The sequence below is a fragment of the Homo sapiens genome, chromosome 1 (assembly GCF_000001405.40).
Source record: "Homo sapiens chromosome 1, GRCh38.p14 Primary Assembly".
NCBI classification, from domain to species: domain Eukaryota; kingdom Metazoa; phylum Chordata; class Mammalia; order Primates; family Hominidae; genus Homo; species Homo sapiens.
In genome coordinates this window covers 1,070,650-1,084,469 of record NC_000001.11, presented here as the reverse complement: position 1 = coordinate 1,084,469, position 13,820 = coordinate 1,070,650, and the positions used below count along the sequence as shown (strand labels likewise).

At 67.1% G+C, this 13,820-nt stretch overlaps 2 protein-coding genes across 4 annotated transcripts in view, besides 6 other annotated features; both read left to right on the top strand.

Annotated features, from left to right (window-relative positions):
* C1orf159 (chromosome 1 open reading frame 159) overlaps positions 1–2,647 on the top strand; it is a 34,267-nt gene extending 31,620 nt beyond the window's left edge. For 2 of the 3 annotated variants that reach the window (NM_001363525.2, NM_001330306.2), the window contains 2 exons: positions 87–555; positions 1,483–2,647. In NM_001363525.2, coding sequence (NP_001350454.1) covers positions 87–555; positions 1,483–1,577 — 564 coding nt within the window. In that variant the 3' untranslated portion in view covers positions 1,578–2,647. The remainder of the gene's footprint in view (positions 1–86; positions 556–1,482) is intronic. The other variant, NM_017891.5, reaches the window with a different exon arrangement.
* Positions 2,370–2,549: a silencer, noted in NCBI's record as "fragment chr1:1017301-1017480 (GRCh37/hg19 assembly coordinates)". NCBI's record gives its function as "represses an EF-1alpha promoter that drives an FKBP-Casp9 reporter gene in an ReSE screen in K562 erythroleukemia cells {active_cell/tissue: K562}" and the evidence as "EXISTENCE:reporter gene assay evidence [ECO:0000049][PMID:32094911]".
* Positions 2,567–3,268: an enhancer, noted in NCBI's record as "H3K4me1 hESC enhancer chr1:1016582-1017283 (GRCh37/hg19 assembly coordinates)". NCBI's record gives its function as "activates a minimal SCP1, AML or CMV promoter by ChIP-STARR-seq in naive and primed H9 embryonic stem cells {active_cell/tissue: H9 hESC(naive and primed)}" and the evidence as "EXISTENCE:reporter gene assay evidence [ECO:0000049][PMID:30033119]".
* Positions 3,269–3,971: an enhancer, noted in NCBI's record as "H3K4me1 hESC enhancer chr1:1015879-1016581 (GRCh37/hg19 assembly coordinates)". NCBI's record gives its function as "activates a minimal SCP1, AML or CMV promoter by ChIP-STARR-seq in naive and primed H9 embryonic stem cells {active_cell/tissue: H9 hESC(naive and primed)}" and the evidence as "EXISTENCE:reporter gene assay evidence [ECO:0000049][PMID:30033119]".
* Positions 4,179–4,278: a silencer, noted in NCBI's record as "silent region_31". NCBI's record gives its function as "represses an Ori minimal core promoter by ATAC-STARR-seq in GM12878 lymphoblastoid cells {active_cell/tissue: GM12878}" and the evidence as "EXISTENCE:reporter gene assay evidence [ECO:0000049][PMID:35858748]".
* Positions 4,339–4,418: a silencer, noted in NCBI's record as "silent region_30". NCBI's record gives its function as "represses an Ori minimal core promoter by ATAC-STARR-seq in GM12878 lymphoblastoid cells {active_cell/tissue: GM12878}" and the evidence as "EXISTENCE:reporter gene assay evidence [ECO:0000049][PMID:35858748]".
* Positions 9,972–10,471: an enhancer, noted in NCBI's record as "H3K4me1 hESC enhancer chr1:1009379-1009878 (GRCh37/hg19 assembly coordinates)". NCBI's record gives its function as "activates a minimal SCP1, AML or CMV promoter by ChIP-STARR-seq in naive H9 embryonic stem cells {active_cell/tissue: H9 hESC(naive)}" and the evidence as "EXISTENCE:reporter gene assay evidence [ECO:0000049][PMID:30033119]".
* RNF223 (ring finger protein 223) lies at positions 10,164–13,503 on the top strand. Its single transcript, NM_001205252.2, has 2 exons — positions 10,164–10,454; positions 11,895–13,503. Exon 2 carries the CDS (start codon positions 11,904–11,906, stop codon positions 12,651–12,653), a length of 750 nt encoding a protein of 249 aa, NP_001192181.1. The 5' UTR covers positions 10,164–10,454; positions 11,895–11,903; the 3' UTR covers positions 12,654–13,503.
* Positions 13,504–13,820: the final 317 nt, after the last annotated feature.

Sequence of the window (13,820 nt, the reverse complement as noted above, 5' to 3'; positions counted from 1 at the left end):
ACATCATCCGGGCTGAGCGTCCCTGGCCGCGTGTGCCTGTGCCAGGCCATCCCGAGTCCTCACTCTGCCTTTCTCTCCTTTTCAAGGCTGCAATGATCCCCCCGCCACAGTCCTCAGGTAACAGCAGCTGTCGCATCCCCCTGTGGGGTTTCCCATCTCTGGGCCAGTCCCAGGGTGCTCTGTGGGTTTGTCCCCAAACGGGTTTGCCTGGCTCTGGATCTCGGCCACCCCTGCCCGGGTCCCCAGGAGACCCACCCACAAGGCAGGGCCAGGGCCGGATTTGGCTGGTGCCCCCTGCTCTGGATCTCAGCTGGATTTGGCCGGCGCCCCCTGCCCGCCCCCCTTTAATCCCCGTGACTTCCATGCTCTTTCCTGTTCCCGAGACGTGGGGTCTGCAGGAAAGGAGGACCCACCACGACAGGGCAGACCCCCAATACCTGCTCCTCCTTGAAGTCCAGCTCCACCCGAGGACAGACGCAGCCGGCCTCCGCCAGGCCCTCCTGAGCAGCCATCGCTTCAGTGGTGCTGGGTCAGGCGGACCCAAGAGTCAGCCCGGTTAGGACCCATTTTATGTGCGGGGCCACAGACACAGGCTGAGTGACCGGCGCACAGCCACACAGCTCCAAGGCCATGAGCAGGGCTCACCCGGCCTCCGTCCCCCTGTGCAGAAGTCTGTCATGGGGGCAGGTGACCGTGCCTTTAGGGGACAGACCGTTCTCCATCAAGGCTGGACGTGCCCCGTCCCTAAAGCAGCCCTGTCTGCAAGTGCCCAGCAGACCCCACGGTGCCCGAGTGCCCCGGGGCTGCCAGCTTCAACAGCAGACCTTTAATCTGACTATCCTAGAGTTCAGAAGTCCAAAACCAAGGGGCAAACAAGGCCACACGCTTCCCGAGGCTCCGGGGAGGACGCTGTCTGCCTTCCCAGCCCCTGCCGGCTCAGGCATCTGTGGCTGCGTTGCCCGTCTCTGTCCCCTGGTCCCACGGCGTCTCCCCCACCTCTGCGTCTTCTCTCTCTGCCTCTCTCTCAGGTGGGCCCTGGCCGTTGTTTCAGGGCCTGCCCGGGGAACCCTGGGCGATCACACCTGAGACCCTGACGTAACCCCCTGCAAAGCCCCTTCTTCTAAATAAGGTCACATTCGAGGTCTTGGGACTACGGCCTGCTTGTCGCCCCCTGAGGTGCATGATACTCTGGGACCCACATCTCTGTCTTCGGGGATCGCCTGGCCCTTGTCCAGGCCCCGGGGCCCAGGGTGTAAATGAGAGGACACAGCCGGGCAGGAGGAAGCCGTCCCTTTCCCGAGCTGGAGCTCTGAGGGCGCCTTAGGGGCAGGGGGCATCTGGGTTCCCACCTGGTCAGAGTAAACAGCCCCGGGCGCCTGTGCCATATGCCCACTCCCGAGAGCCTCCGGTGAGGGCTGAGGCCTGCACTGTCCCTGCTGTCCAGGTCCCACTCTGACCTCGCCTGTCTCTGACCCGTTTCAGTACGGAAGCCGCGCTACGTCAGGCGGGAGCGGCCCCTGGACAGGGCCACGGATCCCGCTGCCTTCCCGGGGGAGGCCCGTATCAGCAATGTCTGACCTGGAGGCCGAGACCACGCCACGCACTTGGCGGCAGGGACCCGGAGGCCGACCCCTTGGCGGGAACCAGCACAAAGTGTTGGCATCGCCCGGCGCCCGGGACAGTCCTGGGCACAGCCTCGGCTCTGAGTCCCTCCGCCTCCCAGCGACGGACGCCAAAGGGTCCCGGGCCGCCTGAGGCTCCTCCCCACCACAGCCATCTCGTTTATCGGACCAGGAGCAGGCATCCATGAGACCTCAGAGCTTCAGATCGAGGCCTTGGGGGGTCCGGGCCCCCCCAGGAAACACGGTGAGGCCCCAGCGCCTGCAGCCAAAGCTGGCACGATCTATGGGGCAGGTGCCGCTCTGCCTAGAAAAGCCAGGGGCTCTGCTGCCGTGCCCTCCAGAGCCCACAGCGGGCAGGACTCCTCCAGCACCACCACACCCAGTGGCCCGAGACCCCTCTGAGAACAGTGAGGCTGGTCCTCGTGCCGTTCCAGCCGGTGCCCGGCCAGTGGGGAGGACACAGCCTAGGAACCAGCTGCCTGAGACCAGGGTGCCTCTGGGCTGTCCTCCCGCGTGGCGGAGACCCCAAGCACGCAGCCACCCATTTCCGGAGCTGCAGGATAGAGCTTCCTCTTGATCTCTGTTTTTAAGCAGAAATTCATTGTGCAGAAAAGTCCTCCAGAGCTCTGTGGCCCCGCTCGGATCCGCTGGACCCCCATGCCTGGCTGATCCCTGCCCACGTGGGGCAGGCCCACATCTAACCCCCACAAGTCACTGCCTCACTGCACCTGCCAAGGCTGCCCTGGCGCTGAGTCCTGGGGTCCCTCCCGGAGTTCCTGGGAGAAAGGCGCCGTCGTGGCCGCCTCCCGCACGCCAGGCCCGGGCTCCACCGTGGGTCTCAGACGCCCTGCGGCACCGGCACCGTCTGCTTTAGCATGGGACCCCCCTCTGAGGGGTGGCCTGGCCTTCGGGGTCCCCACGCTCCTTTGCGAAGTCCACTGTGGGTGCCATCATGGTCTCCGGGACCTGGGCCAGCGGGAACGTGGGGGCACTGGGTGTGCTGATATAAAGTCGGCATTACTCAAGCTGCGTTCCGAGCTGCTCTCTCCCGTAGGATGCTCTGTTCTCTAAGTGCAGGTCGGGGAGCAAAGCCCCCGCCAGGCTGGCCCCACGCACTCCGCCACCGTGTGCTGGGGGCAAGGAGGTGGGACGGGGGTGGAGGAGAGTCCAGGTTGGGGCTGCCTGGTTGGGACCCCCCGCCCCGCGCCGCACATTTTCTGCCACAGGCCCATTCCCCAGATGCAACCTGTGCAGGTGGGACCTGTGGTCCCCGAACCCCCAGCTCGGAGTGAGGTGGGACAGAGTGTGGGTGTGCGTTTCCATCGGCCGGCCGGGCTGCGTGGGGGCTGCAGACACGGGCCCCGGGAGGGCTGCCATGGCCATCTGGGGGGGCAGCAGTGTGGGGGTGTTTGCTGACAGTGATGGGCCTGGCCAGAGAGGGCTGAGCTGGGGCAGGACAGGCCTTGAGGGCAGAGGGCCCGGGCACCAGGATGCCAGAGCGCGGGCCCTGCTCTCGTAACCGTGCCCTCCACCCAGGCAGAAACGTCCACTGCCTGGAGGGTCGTGTCCTTAGACACCTGCATCCCTGTCCCCAAAAACCCCCAGCCTGAGGTTTGCAGCCAGGGAGTATCTGGGGGAGCATTGGCTCTGCCCTGGGCCCTGGCCCAAGAAGTGTCCTGGGGCTGGGAGGGTCACTGGTCCTGGGGAGAAAGGGAGGGACTGGACAGCCCAAGGCCACTCTGAGCCCAGTACCCACCGCCCCACCTGATGCCCTGGGCCACGCCCCTGTGACGCGGGAGCCCCCAGACTCCTCCTGTGGGGAAGGAGACAGGGACCGAGATGGGAGCAGAGGGAAGGAGACAGGGACCGAGGTGGGGGCGGAGGGAAGGAGACAGGGACCGAGGTGGGGGCGGAGGGAAGGAGACAGGGACCGAGGTGGGGGCGGAGGGAAGGAGACAGGGACCGAGGTGGGGGCGGAGGGAAGGAGACAGGGACCGAGGTGGGGGCGGAGGGAAGGAGACAGGGACCGAGGTGGGGGCGGAGGGAAGGAGACAGGGACCGAGGTGGGGGCGGAGGGAAGGAGACAGGGACCGAGGTGGGGGCGGAGGGAAGGAGACAGGGACCGAGGTGGGGGCGGAGGGAAGGAGACAGGGACCGAGGTGGGGGCGGAGGGAAGGAGACAGGGACCGAGGTGGGGGTGGAGGGAAGGAGTCCACATCCCCCTGGAAACTCCACTCCTGCATTTGCACCAGGCTGGGCGTCTGGTTTGGAGGATAAAATCGGAAACAGGCACGAACAGCAGGTCCAGCCAGGCAGGGTCTGGAGGCCAGGCCAGACACAGACAGGCACCTCCCAGCCCACCCTCTGAGCAGCCCCCCAGGCCCCATCTCTCAATTCTGGGTCCCCTCCTCCTCCTCCCACCCAGTGGCCCAAACCAAAAACCCAGGGTCATCCTGACACCTCCACATATCCCCCTCAGCTGGCTCCCCACGTCCCCCACCTGCGCACTCGCGATTGGCCCTTGGGCAGCACGTGGTCAGCCAGGACCTGTGGCAGCGAGGGGCACGCCCTCCTCACTGGGCACAGGAGGGACACACTGAGCTGGGCCTAGGGGCGGCCCCAGCACGTCAGGGGCAAAGCTAGACCCAAGTGCACGTCCCGGAGCCCTGCTCCCCCGCACCGGCCTCCCCTCTGCACATCTGGGCCCTTGGGAAAGAATTCCAGTCCCACGGCCAACAGAGCCGCTGCATTTGAGGCAATGGCCCAGCACGGGGCGGGGCGGGGTGGGGCGAGGCCGGGGGCCCCACAGCAGCCTGGAAGGCCCCTCCCCGCACCGGCCGCACCACGTCCCCAGGCCTGGCAGTGCCAGGTGTGACCCGTAACCGAGGCCTGGAGGGGAAGGAGTCCCTGAGAGGGCGTGAGGAGACCGAGTGAAGGAGGTGAGGGGTCAGGTGCTCACACCAGCATCCATGTCTCAAGCATGGGCACGTGTGCTCACACACGCCCACACGCTCACCAGCCCAGCCTCCCGCCCACTGGCTGCGACGGAGGGGACCAGGCGGGCCCACCCCCTGCCCTGGAATCTGCCAGCCAAGCTGCTCTGAGCCTCCCGAGAGCCCTGAGAGACCGTCTGAGCTGAGAGAAGGGGAGCTGCTGGCTCCTCTCCTGCACAGGGAGGCCTGGCCTGGCGCCGAGACCACACATTCCTCCGGCCTTTCCTCACCTTTGCCTCCGGCACGAGTGTCAGCCGGGAGCCCAGAGTGACCTCAGTGCCAGGATATTCCCAGGAGCTGTCGGGAGGACGTTCCCAGAGCTGCAGGGGCCAGGGTGCTTCCTGGAGGCGGCATGTGACCCGAGTCACGGACCTCAGGAAGCAGGAGCCTCCGACGAGTGCTTTCAGGGCCTCACAGCGGCCCTGCACAGAGTCCCCATAGCCTCAGCCTCCCCCCACGGAGTCCCCATAGCCTCAGCCTCCCCCCACGGAGTCCCCATAGCCTCAGCCTCCCGGCACGGAGTCCCCATAGCCTCAGCCTCCCCCCACGGAGTCCCCATAGCCTCAGCCACCCCCCACGGAGTCCCCATAGCCTCAGCCTCCCCCCACGGAGTCCCCATAGCCTCAGCCACCCCCCACGGAGTCCCCATAGCCTCAGCCTCCCCCCACGGAGTCCCCATAGCCTCAGCCTCCCGGCACGGAGTCCCCATAGCCTCAGCCTCCCGGCACGGAGTCCCCATAGCCTCAGCCTCCCCCCACGGAGTCCCCATAGCCTCAGCCTCCCCCCACGGAGTCCCCATAGCCTCAGCCTCCCCCCACGGAGTCCCCATAGCCTCAGCCTCCCCGCACGGAGTCCCCATAGCCTCAGCCTCCCCCCACGGAGTCCCCATAGCCTCAGCCACCCCGCACGGAGTCCCCATAGCCTCAGCCTCCCCGCACGGAGTCCCCATAGCCTCAGCCTCCCCCCACGGAGTCCCCATAGCCTCAGCCTCCCGGCACGGAGTCCCCATAGCCTCAGCCACCCCTCACGGAGTCCCCATAGCCTCAGCCTCCCCCCACGGAGTCCCCATAGCCTCAGCCTCCCCCCACGGAGTGCCCATAGCCTCAGCCTCCCCCCACGGAGTCCCCATAGCCTCAGCCTCCCCCCACGGAGTCCCCATAGCCTCAGCCTCCCGGCACGGAGTCCCCATAGCCTCAGCCTCCCCCCACGGAGTCCCCATAGCCTCAGCCTCCCCCCACGGAGTCCCCATAGCCTCAGCCTCCCCCCACGGAGTCCCCATAGCCTCAGCCTCCCCCCACGGAGTCCCCATAGCCTCAGCCTCCCCCCACGGAGTCCCCATAGCCTCAGCCTCCCCCCACGGAGTCCCCATAGCCTCAGCCTCCCCCCACGGAGTCCCCATAGCCTCAGCCTCCCCCCACGGAGTCCCCATAGCCTCAGCCTCCCCCCACGGAGTCCCCATAGCCTCAGCCTCCCCCCACGGAGTCCCCATAGCCTCAGCCTCCCCCCACGGAGTCCCCATAGCCTCAGCCTCCCCCCACGGAGTCCCCATAGCCTCAGCCACCCCTCACGGAGTCCCCATAGACGCAGCCTCCCCCCACGGAGTCCCCATAGCCTCAGCCTCCCCCCACGGAGTCCCCATAGCCTCAGCCTCCCCCCACGGAGTCCCCATAGCCTCAGCCTCCCCCCACGGAGTCCCCATAGCCTCAGCGTCCCCCCACGGAGTCCCCATAGCCTCAGCCTCCCCGCACGGAGTCCCCATAGCCTCAGCCTCCCCCAACGGAGTCCCCATAGCCTCAGCCTCCCCCAACGGAGTCCCCATAGACTCAGCCTCCCGGCACGGAGTCCCCATAGCCTCAGCCTCCCCCCACGGAGTCCCCGTAGCCTCAGCCTCCCCCCACGGAGTCCCCGTAGCCTCAGCCTCCCCCCACGGAGTCCCCGTAGCCTCAGCCTCCCCCCACGGAGTCCCCGTAGCCTCAGCCTCCCCCAACGGAGTCCCCGTAGCCTCAGCCTCCCCGCACGGAGTCCCCGTAGCCTCAGCCTCCCCCCACGGAGTCCCCGTAGCCTCAGCCTCCCCCCACGGAGTCCCCGTAGCCTCAGCCTCCCCCCACGGAGTCCCCGTAGCCTCAGCCTCCCCGCACGGAGTCCCCATAGCCTCAGCCTCCCCCAACGGAGTCCCCATAGCCTCAGCCTCCCCCAACGGAGTCCCCATAGCCTCAGCCTCCCCCAACGGAGTCCCCATAGACTCAGCCTCCCGGCACGGAGTCCCCATAGACTCAGCCTCCCGGCACGGAGTCCCCATAGACTCAGCCTCTCGGCACGGAGTCCCCATAGACTCAGCCTCCCCCCACGGAGTCCCCATAGCCTCAGCCTCCCCCCACGGAGTCCCCATAGCCTCAGCCTCCCCCCACGGAGTCCCCGTAGCCTCAGCCTCCCCCCACGGAGTCCCCGTAGCCTCAGCCTCCCCCCACGGAGTCCCCGTAGCCTCAGCCTCCCGGCACGGAGTCCCCGTAGCCTCAGCCTCCCGGCACAGAGTCCCCATAGACTCAGCCTCCCGGCACGGAGTCCCCATAGACTCAGCCTCCCGGCACGGAGTCCCCATAGCCTCAGCCTCCCGGCACGGAGTCCCCATAGCCTCAGCCACCCCGCACGGAGTCCCCATAGACTCAGCCTCCCCGCACGGAGTCCCCATAGACTCAGCCACCCCTCACGGAGTCCCCGTAGACTCAGCCTCCCCGCACGGAGTCCCCGTAGCCTCAGCCTCCCGGCACGGAGTCCCCGTAGCCTCAGCCTCCCCCCACGGAGTCCCCGTAGCCTCAGCCTCCCCCCACGGAGTCCCCGTAGCCTCAGCCTCCCCCCACGGAGTCCCCGTAGCCTCAGCCTCCCCCCACGGAGTCCCCGTAGCCTCAGCCTCCCCCCACGGAGTCCCCGTAGCCTCAGCCTCCCCCCACGGAGTCCCCGTAGCCTCAGCCTCCCCCCACGGAGTCCCCGTAGCCTCAGCCTCCCCCCACGGAGTCCCCGTAGCCTCAGCCTCCCCCCACGGAGTCCCCGTAGCCTCAGCCTCCCCCCACGGAGTCCCCGTAGCCTCAGCCTCCCCCCACGGAGTCCCCGTAGCCTCAGCCTCCCCCCACGGAGTCCCCGTAGCCTCAGCCTCCCCCCACGGAGTCCCCGTAGCCTCAGCCTCCCCCCACGGAGTCCCCGTAGCCTCAGCCTCCCCCCACGGAGTCCCCGTAGCCTCAGCCTCCCCCCACGGAGTCCCCGTAGCCTCAGCCTCCCCCCACGGAGTCCCCGTAGCCTCAGCCTCCCCCCACGGAGTCCCCGTAGCCTCAGCCACCCCCCACGGAGTCCCCGTAGCCTCACAGCCCTGCACGGAGTCACCATAGCCTCAGCCTGCCCCACGGAGTCCCCATAGCCTCAGCCTCCCGGCACGGAGTCCCCATAGCCTCAGCCTCCCCCCACGGAGTCCCCATAGACTCAGCCTCCCCCGACGGAGTCCCCATAGCCTCAGCCTCCCAGCACGGAGTCCCCGTAGCCTCAGCCTCCCCCCACGGAGTCCCCGTAGCCTCAGCCTCCCCCCACGGAGTCCCCGTAGCCTCAGCCTCCCCCCACGGAGTCCCCGTAGCCTCAGCCACCCCCCACGGAGTCCCCGTAGCCTCACAGCCCTGCACGGAGTCACCGTAGCCTCAGCCTGCCCCACGGAGTCCCCATAGCCTCAGCCTCCCGGCACGGAGTCCCCATAGCCTCAGCCTCCCCCCACGGAGTCCCCATAGACTCAGCCTCCCCCGATGGAGTCCCCATAGCCTCAGCCTCCCAGCACGGAGTCCCCATAACCTCAGCCTCCCCCCACGGAGTCCCCATAGCCTCAGCCTCCCGCCACGGAGTCCCCATAGCCTCAGCCTCCCGGCACGGAGTCCCCATAGCCTCAGCCTCCCCCCACGGAGTCCCCATAGCCTCAGCCTCCCCCCACAGAGTTCCCATAGCCTCAGCCACCCCGCACGGAGCCCCTCACAGAGCTCCCACCCCTCCCCAGCTCTTGAGTCCCCAGCCCTCCCTGTCTGAAAGCCCAGCCCCAGCCCGCGCCCCGCTCTCTGAGCATCCACCCCTCCCTGTCTGAGCACCCAAATCCGCTCTCTGAACCCCCCTAACCCCCGACTGAGAGTCCTCATGGAACTGGCAGGGGTCCCCCCAACCCCTGACTGAGAGTCCTCATGGAACTGGCAGGGGTCCCCCCAACCCCCGACTGAGAGTCCTCATGGAACTGGCAGGGGTCCGGCCCTTCCTGAGCCCAAGTCCCTGTGCTCCTCCTCGGGGTGTTGCCCCCTGGCCTCTGCAGTCCTGGTTCCCACTTCCCAGCATCCCTTGGGCTCCAGGATGCCCGCGGCAGCCCTGGGGGAGCCTCTGGGTCCCTACTGAGGGGTCGGCGGGCACCTGCATGGGAGTTGCCTGAGGGCAGTCTGTGGGGTGGCCCGGCCAGCTCTCCCACTAGGGTGGGTCCCTCACTCCCAGCCCCACCCAGTGTGGCACCCCCCCAGGCTGGTGTGTGGAGTCCCAGCTCAGGTCCGGCCCAGGCCTCATGGCGGGGATGGGGCTGTGGCAGCCGGGTCGGACCTCCCCTTGCATGAGGTCCACTGGGCTGGGAGAGAGACGCCTCAGTGAGGTGGGGAGCTGGCAGCTGGACAGCCTGGGGGTGCAGCTCTACACCAGGCCCTCGGGCCCACAGCGGGGTGTGCGGGGGACGGGGCAGCCCATGCCACTGGCTGCTCCTCTGAGACCCACACATCCTCCATCCCAGCCCTGCCAGCCTCAGCCCCCAGACTCTCAACCAGCTCCAGCCCTGGTCTTTGCACAGACCAGTCCTGTAGTCTGCTAGGGCATGTGGACATGGCATGTGTGTGTGTGTGGACACAGGGCACGTGTGTGAGAGCATGTGGACATGGCATGTGTGTGAGAGTGTGGACACGGCGTGTGAGTGTGGACACGGCGTGTGTGAGTGTGGACATGGCATATGTGAGCTTCCGGACACGGCACGTGTGTGAGAGCCTGTGGACACGGGGGCATAGAGCGTGTGAACACATGGCCCATGTGTGAGAGCAGCCACGTATGTGTATGGATGAGGCAGGTGAGCACATGGGTGGGTGTGGGCAGGGAAGTGGCAGGAATGGGCTGTGAGGGCAGGCAGCAGTGAGCAAAGGGCAGGGGCAGGCTGGGCATAGGTTGTGGGGGGCTCGGGGAGGGCCCCTGCTAGGAGGCCCACCCAGGAGCTCAGGGGCCACAGGGACCTGGAACTGCGGTGAGCAGCTTCCAGCAGGTGCTCCAGCCTCCTGGGGCTATAGGGAGAGAGGGCTTTGTCCAAGCACACACCCCAGCCCAGACCTGCCCAGGCTGCAGCGGCTGTGCTGACCCCTACCCGGCTCCGACCCTCACCCCTCCCTCCCTGCCCTCCAGCTGCCTGGCCCGCCAAGGAGAGGATGAAGCCAGCCAATCCCTGAGGCTTGCGGCCACACCCTTGGCCCATAGGGTATAAATAGACCTGCTTGGGAGCCCACACCCAGCAACTCACACCTGCCTCAGACCAGAGCTCTGTGCGGGTGACGGCGCACGCATTCCTTGTGTCCCCGCCTGTCTTGGACAGAGCAGAAGCCACACCTGCCAGACCAGTGCCACCGGGACAGCTGCTGGTGGCCGGCCCCGGGGAGGGATACCTGCTGGGTGAAGCACAGGCCGGGCCGGGCCCGGAGAAGAGGAAGCAGACACTGCCACGGCAGGGCAGCCCAGGGCCTTGGAGCCCAACCGTGGCCGGCGAGGAGGACCACGCCCAGGCCCGCTGACCCCCGGCCACCAGGTAAGGCCAGCTCAGCCCGTGTTCACCCCTTACCTGCACAGGCTCAGGGTGGGGCACCATCGTGGAGGGGTGGGGCCTCGTGCCAAGGAACCGGTTCTGTGGGGTACACAGGCCGCAGAGCACAGTCCCCAGGTCCCGGTGCCTGGGGCACTCACGGCCTCACAGTGACGGCGTGTGACTCAGGTGGTCACAGTGACCTGTGTCATCCCGCCAGCCTGTCTGGGACTCACTGGCAAGTCAGGGGTGGGGCGGGGCAGTGCCAGGAGTCACTTCTGGGGCAGCCTCCTGGGCCCCACGGGGACGCACGGCCAGGCCCTTGAGTCTCACTGTCACCCTTGCCCACTTCCCTCCAGGTGGGACCCCTGTGGCTCCCTGCAGCGGATCCTGGGTGCAGGGGAGGGGCGGGAGGTGGAGCAGGGTCCCAGGTCAGCTGAGATGCCCACCTGAGCCATGCCCAGGGGCAGAGCAGCATCCCCCAGTGTCCGTCCCCCAGGGTCCCTGCCATGAAGTGGGATTGGGTCAGGGAGAAGAAACACCCACTCAGTGGGCGGCTGAGGGTGCCCTGACCATCACCTGACCATGAGGCAGTGGGCTGGCCCAGAGGGAATGGCTGGGCTTATCCAAGTCCCACCCCCACACTGTGCACATCAGACCCTCAGCAGCTAGACAAGCCGGCCCCGCAGGCCGCAGGTCGTGCCTGACGTGCACCTTCCTCGGGCACTGACCCCTGCCCCTGCCTGGGCCCTCCCTGTCGTCCCAAAGCCCCCGGGGCTCAGCCCGGTCCCCAGACCCAGAGACCCCCACACCCCACCCTCACATAGCTGCCTACAAATCAGGCCTGCACCGCCCAAGCCAGGCACCCATCCTGGGATCTGAGTTCAAACTCACTTCACTTGACTTGGAGTCCCTGGCCTGCCTGAGAGCCGTATCTGCCAGGGTCCAGGGCCCGCCAGCTCCCTTGGGGTGGCCCTGGCCGAGTCACCCATGCTCTGGGCGGCCTTTTCCACACTGTGGCGTTGTGTGAGTCCCGTGATGTGGGCCCAGCCTTGCAGAGCTCCGACATAAACAGTGACGACTGTGGCTATTGTCATCCTCACCATTATTTCTGCCCGGGCAGCAGGGCCAGCCAGGTGGGGCAGGGCCAACAGGAGGTGTCTGCCGAGCGGTCAGTGAGACCCCCCTACACACGGCCTGCATTCCCGGAGCAGGCCTGGGGCCCTGTGGGAGGCTCACCCCGGTGCAGCCATGTGATGGGGTGGAGAGGACAGGATTGCACGTGGGGCAGAATGACCTCCAGGGGCACCGGAGGAACTTTCTGGAGTGGCGCGCAGGAAACAGAGTCCTTCCCTGGGATCTCTGGGGCGAGAGAGGGGAGGGAGAGATAAAACACCACCAGAAAGGGGCGGCCGGTGATTGCTTACCACAGTCCCTGTCCCACAGCTCAGAGACATGTCGTCAGGCCAGCAGGTGTGGCACACGGCTGTGCCACCCCCTCGCCGGAGCAGCTCCATAGCCTCGATGCCCAGGTCCCCCAGCTCGGCCGGCAGCCCCAGGTCCCCTGGCACCCCTGGCTCGGAGAGGGTGGCCTCCCCCCTGGAGTGCTCCATCTGTTTCTCAGGCTATGACAACATCTTCAAGACACCCAAGGAGCTCTCCTGCACCCACGTCTTCTGCCTGGAGTGCCTGGCCCGGCTGGCGGCTGCTCAGCCTGTGGGCCGCCCCGGTGGTGAGGCTGTACCTTGCCCCTTCTGCAGGCAGCCCACGGCCGTGCCGCCCGCCGGAGCCCCCGCGCTGTGCACCAGCCGCCAGCTGCAGGCCCGGATGCCGGCGCATTTGCGGCGTGAGGAGCCTGTGTGGCTGGAGGGCACCAAGCTGTGCTGCCAGCCACTGCCCACCACACCTGGCCGCGAGCCCGGTTTCGTATGCGTGGACGTGGGTTTGAGCAAGCCTGCCGAGCCGCCCGCGCCCGCCCGGGACCCTGCCCCCCGCCGGGGCCGCCTGGCCCGCTGCTGGGCGCGCTGCAGGGACTGGAGGCGCATGGCACTGGTCTCTGCCCTGCTGCTGATGCTCTTCTGTGTGGCACTCTGGCCGGTGCAGTGCGCGCTCAAGACCGGGAACCTGCGCTGCCTGCCCCTGCCCCCCCGGCCCCCGGCCACCAGCACAGCCGCCTCCCCCCTCGGGCCTCTGACTGATAATTAGGGCCAGCAGCCTCTGCCCAGGTCAGCCGCCCTCGCCCAGCTCCATGGGGCGTCCCCCACTGGGGGGCCCAAGGGCACAGCAGCCACTGGAAGTCGGTCCCCGAGGACGCGAAAGGAGCCTGGCATCTCTGAGGACTCCACCGGGGCCCCACCAAGACCAGGCTCCATTTAGCTTGTCCACCCCTCATTCTCCAGGCTGGGTCCTGACGGGGTGGACAAGAGGATCCCCAAAGCCTCCAAGAACCACAGTCTCACCGGGCGCGGTGGCTCACGCCTGTCATCTCAGCACTCTGGAGGGCTGAGGCAGAAAGACCACTTGAGGTCGGGATTTTGACACCAGCCTGGCCAACATGGTGAAACCCCATCTCTACTAAAAATACAAAAATTAACCGGGCATCGTGGTGGGTGCCTCTTAGCTACTGGGGAGGCTGAGGCAGGAGAACTGCTTGAACCGGGGAGGTGGAGGTGGCAGTGAGCCAAGATTGCACCACTGCATCCAGCCTGGGCGACAGAGGGAGACCCTGTCTCAAAACAAAACAAAAAAAAACAGGCTCGTACAGGAAGGGTCCAGGAGAGCAGCTGGTCAGCATCCCCCCCACCCACACACCCTGTGAACTGCCTGCCAGGGAAGCCCCTTGCCAAGAAGGAAGGGGCCTTGCCGTGCTTCCACTCATGCTGACATTTCCCCGCAGGGCTGGTCCTGCCATTGGGTGGGGGTGCTCATCTTGCCCTCGGACTGTGGGGAGAGAGTGGAGGCAGGGCAGCCCCCCAGTGCAAGGTAACCACAGAAACTTCCAGCTACCCCTCCAACCTTGTGAATTGTACCTTTTAAAATAAATTATTTGTATCCATCTTTGGCAAGAGGGCCTCACCCTGGGTGCCCCTGCTGCAGCCTCAACCCAGAGGATACCCTGACAGAATTAGACTCCCAGCAGCCACTGGGACAGGTGGGCCCAAGGTTCTAGGGGGTCCAACTCCCAGCCCCTCTGGCTGCAGACAGGCTGGGGGTTTCTGGAGTTGGCTGGCGACTCAGCAATGTGAGGCTCCCCAGGGAGATGGGGAGAGGCCCAGGACACTTGGGGCAGGGCAGGCTGGACCAGGGGGAGGGCTTCAGCTTGGTTCAGAGCCCGGGGGCTGACAAAGGGGGCCTTTCTCTTCCCCCATCCTC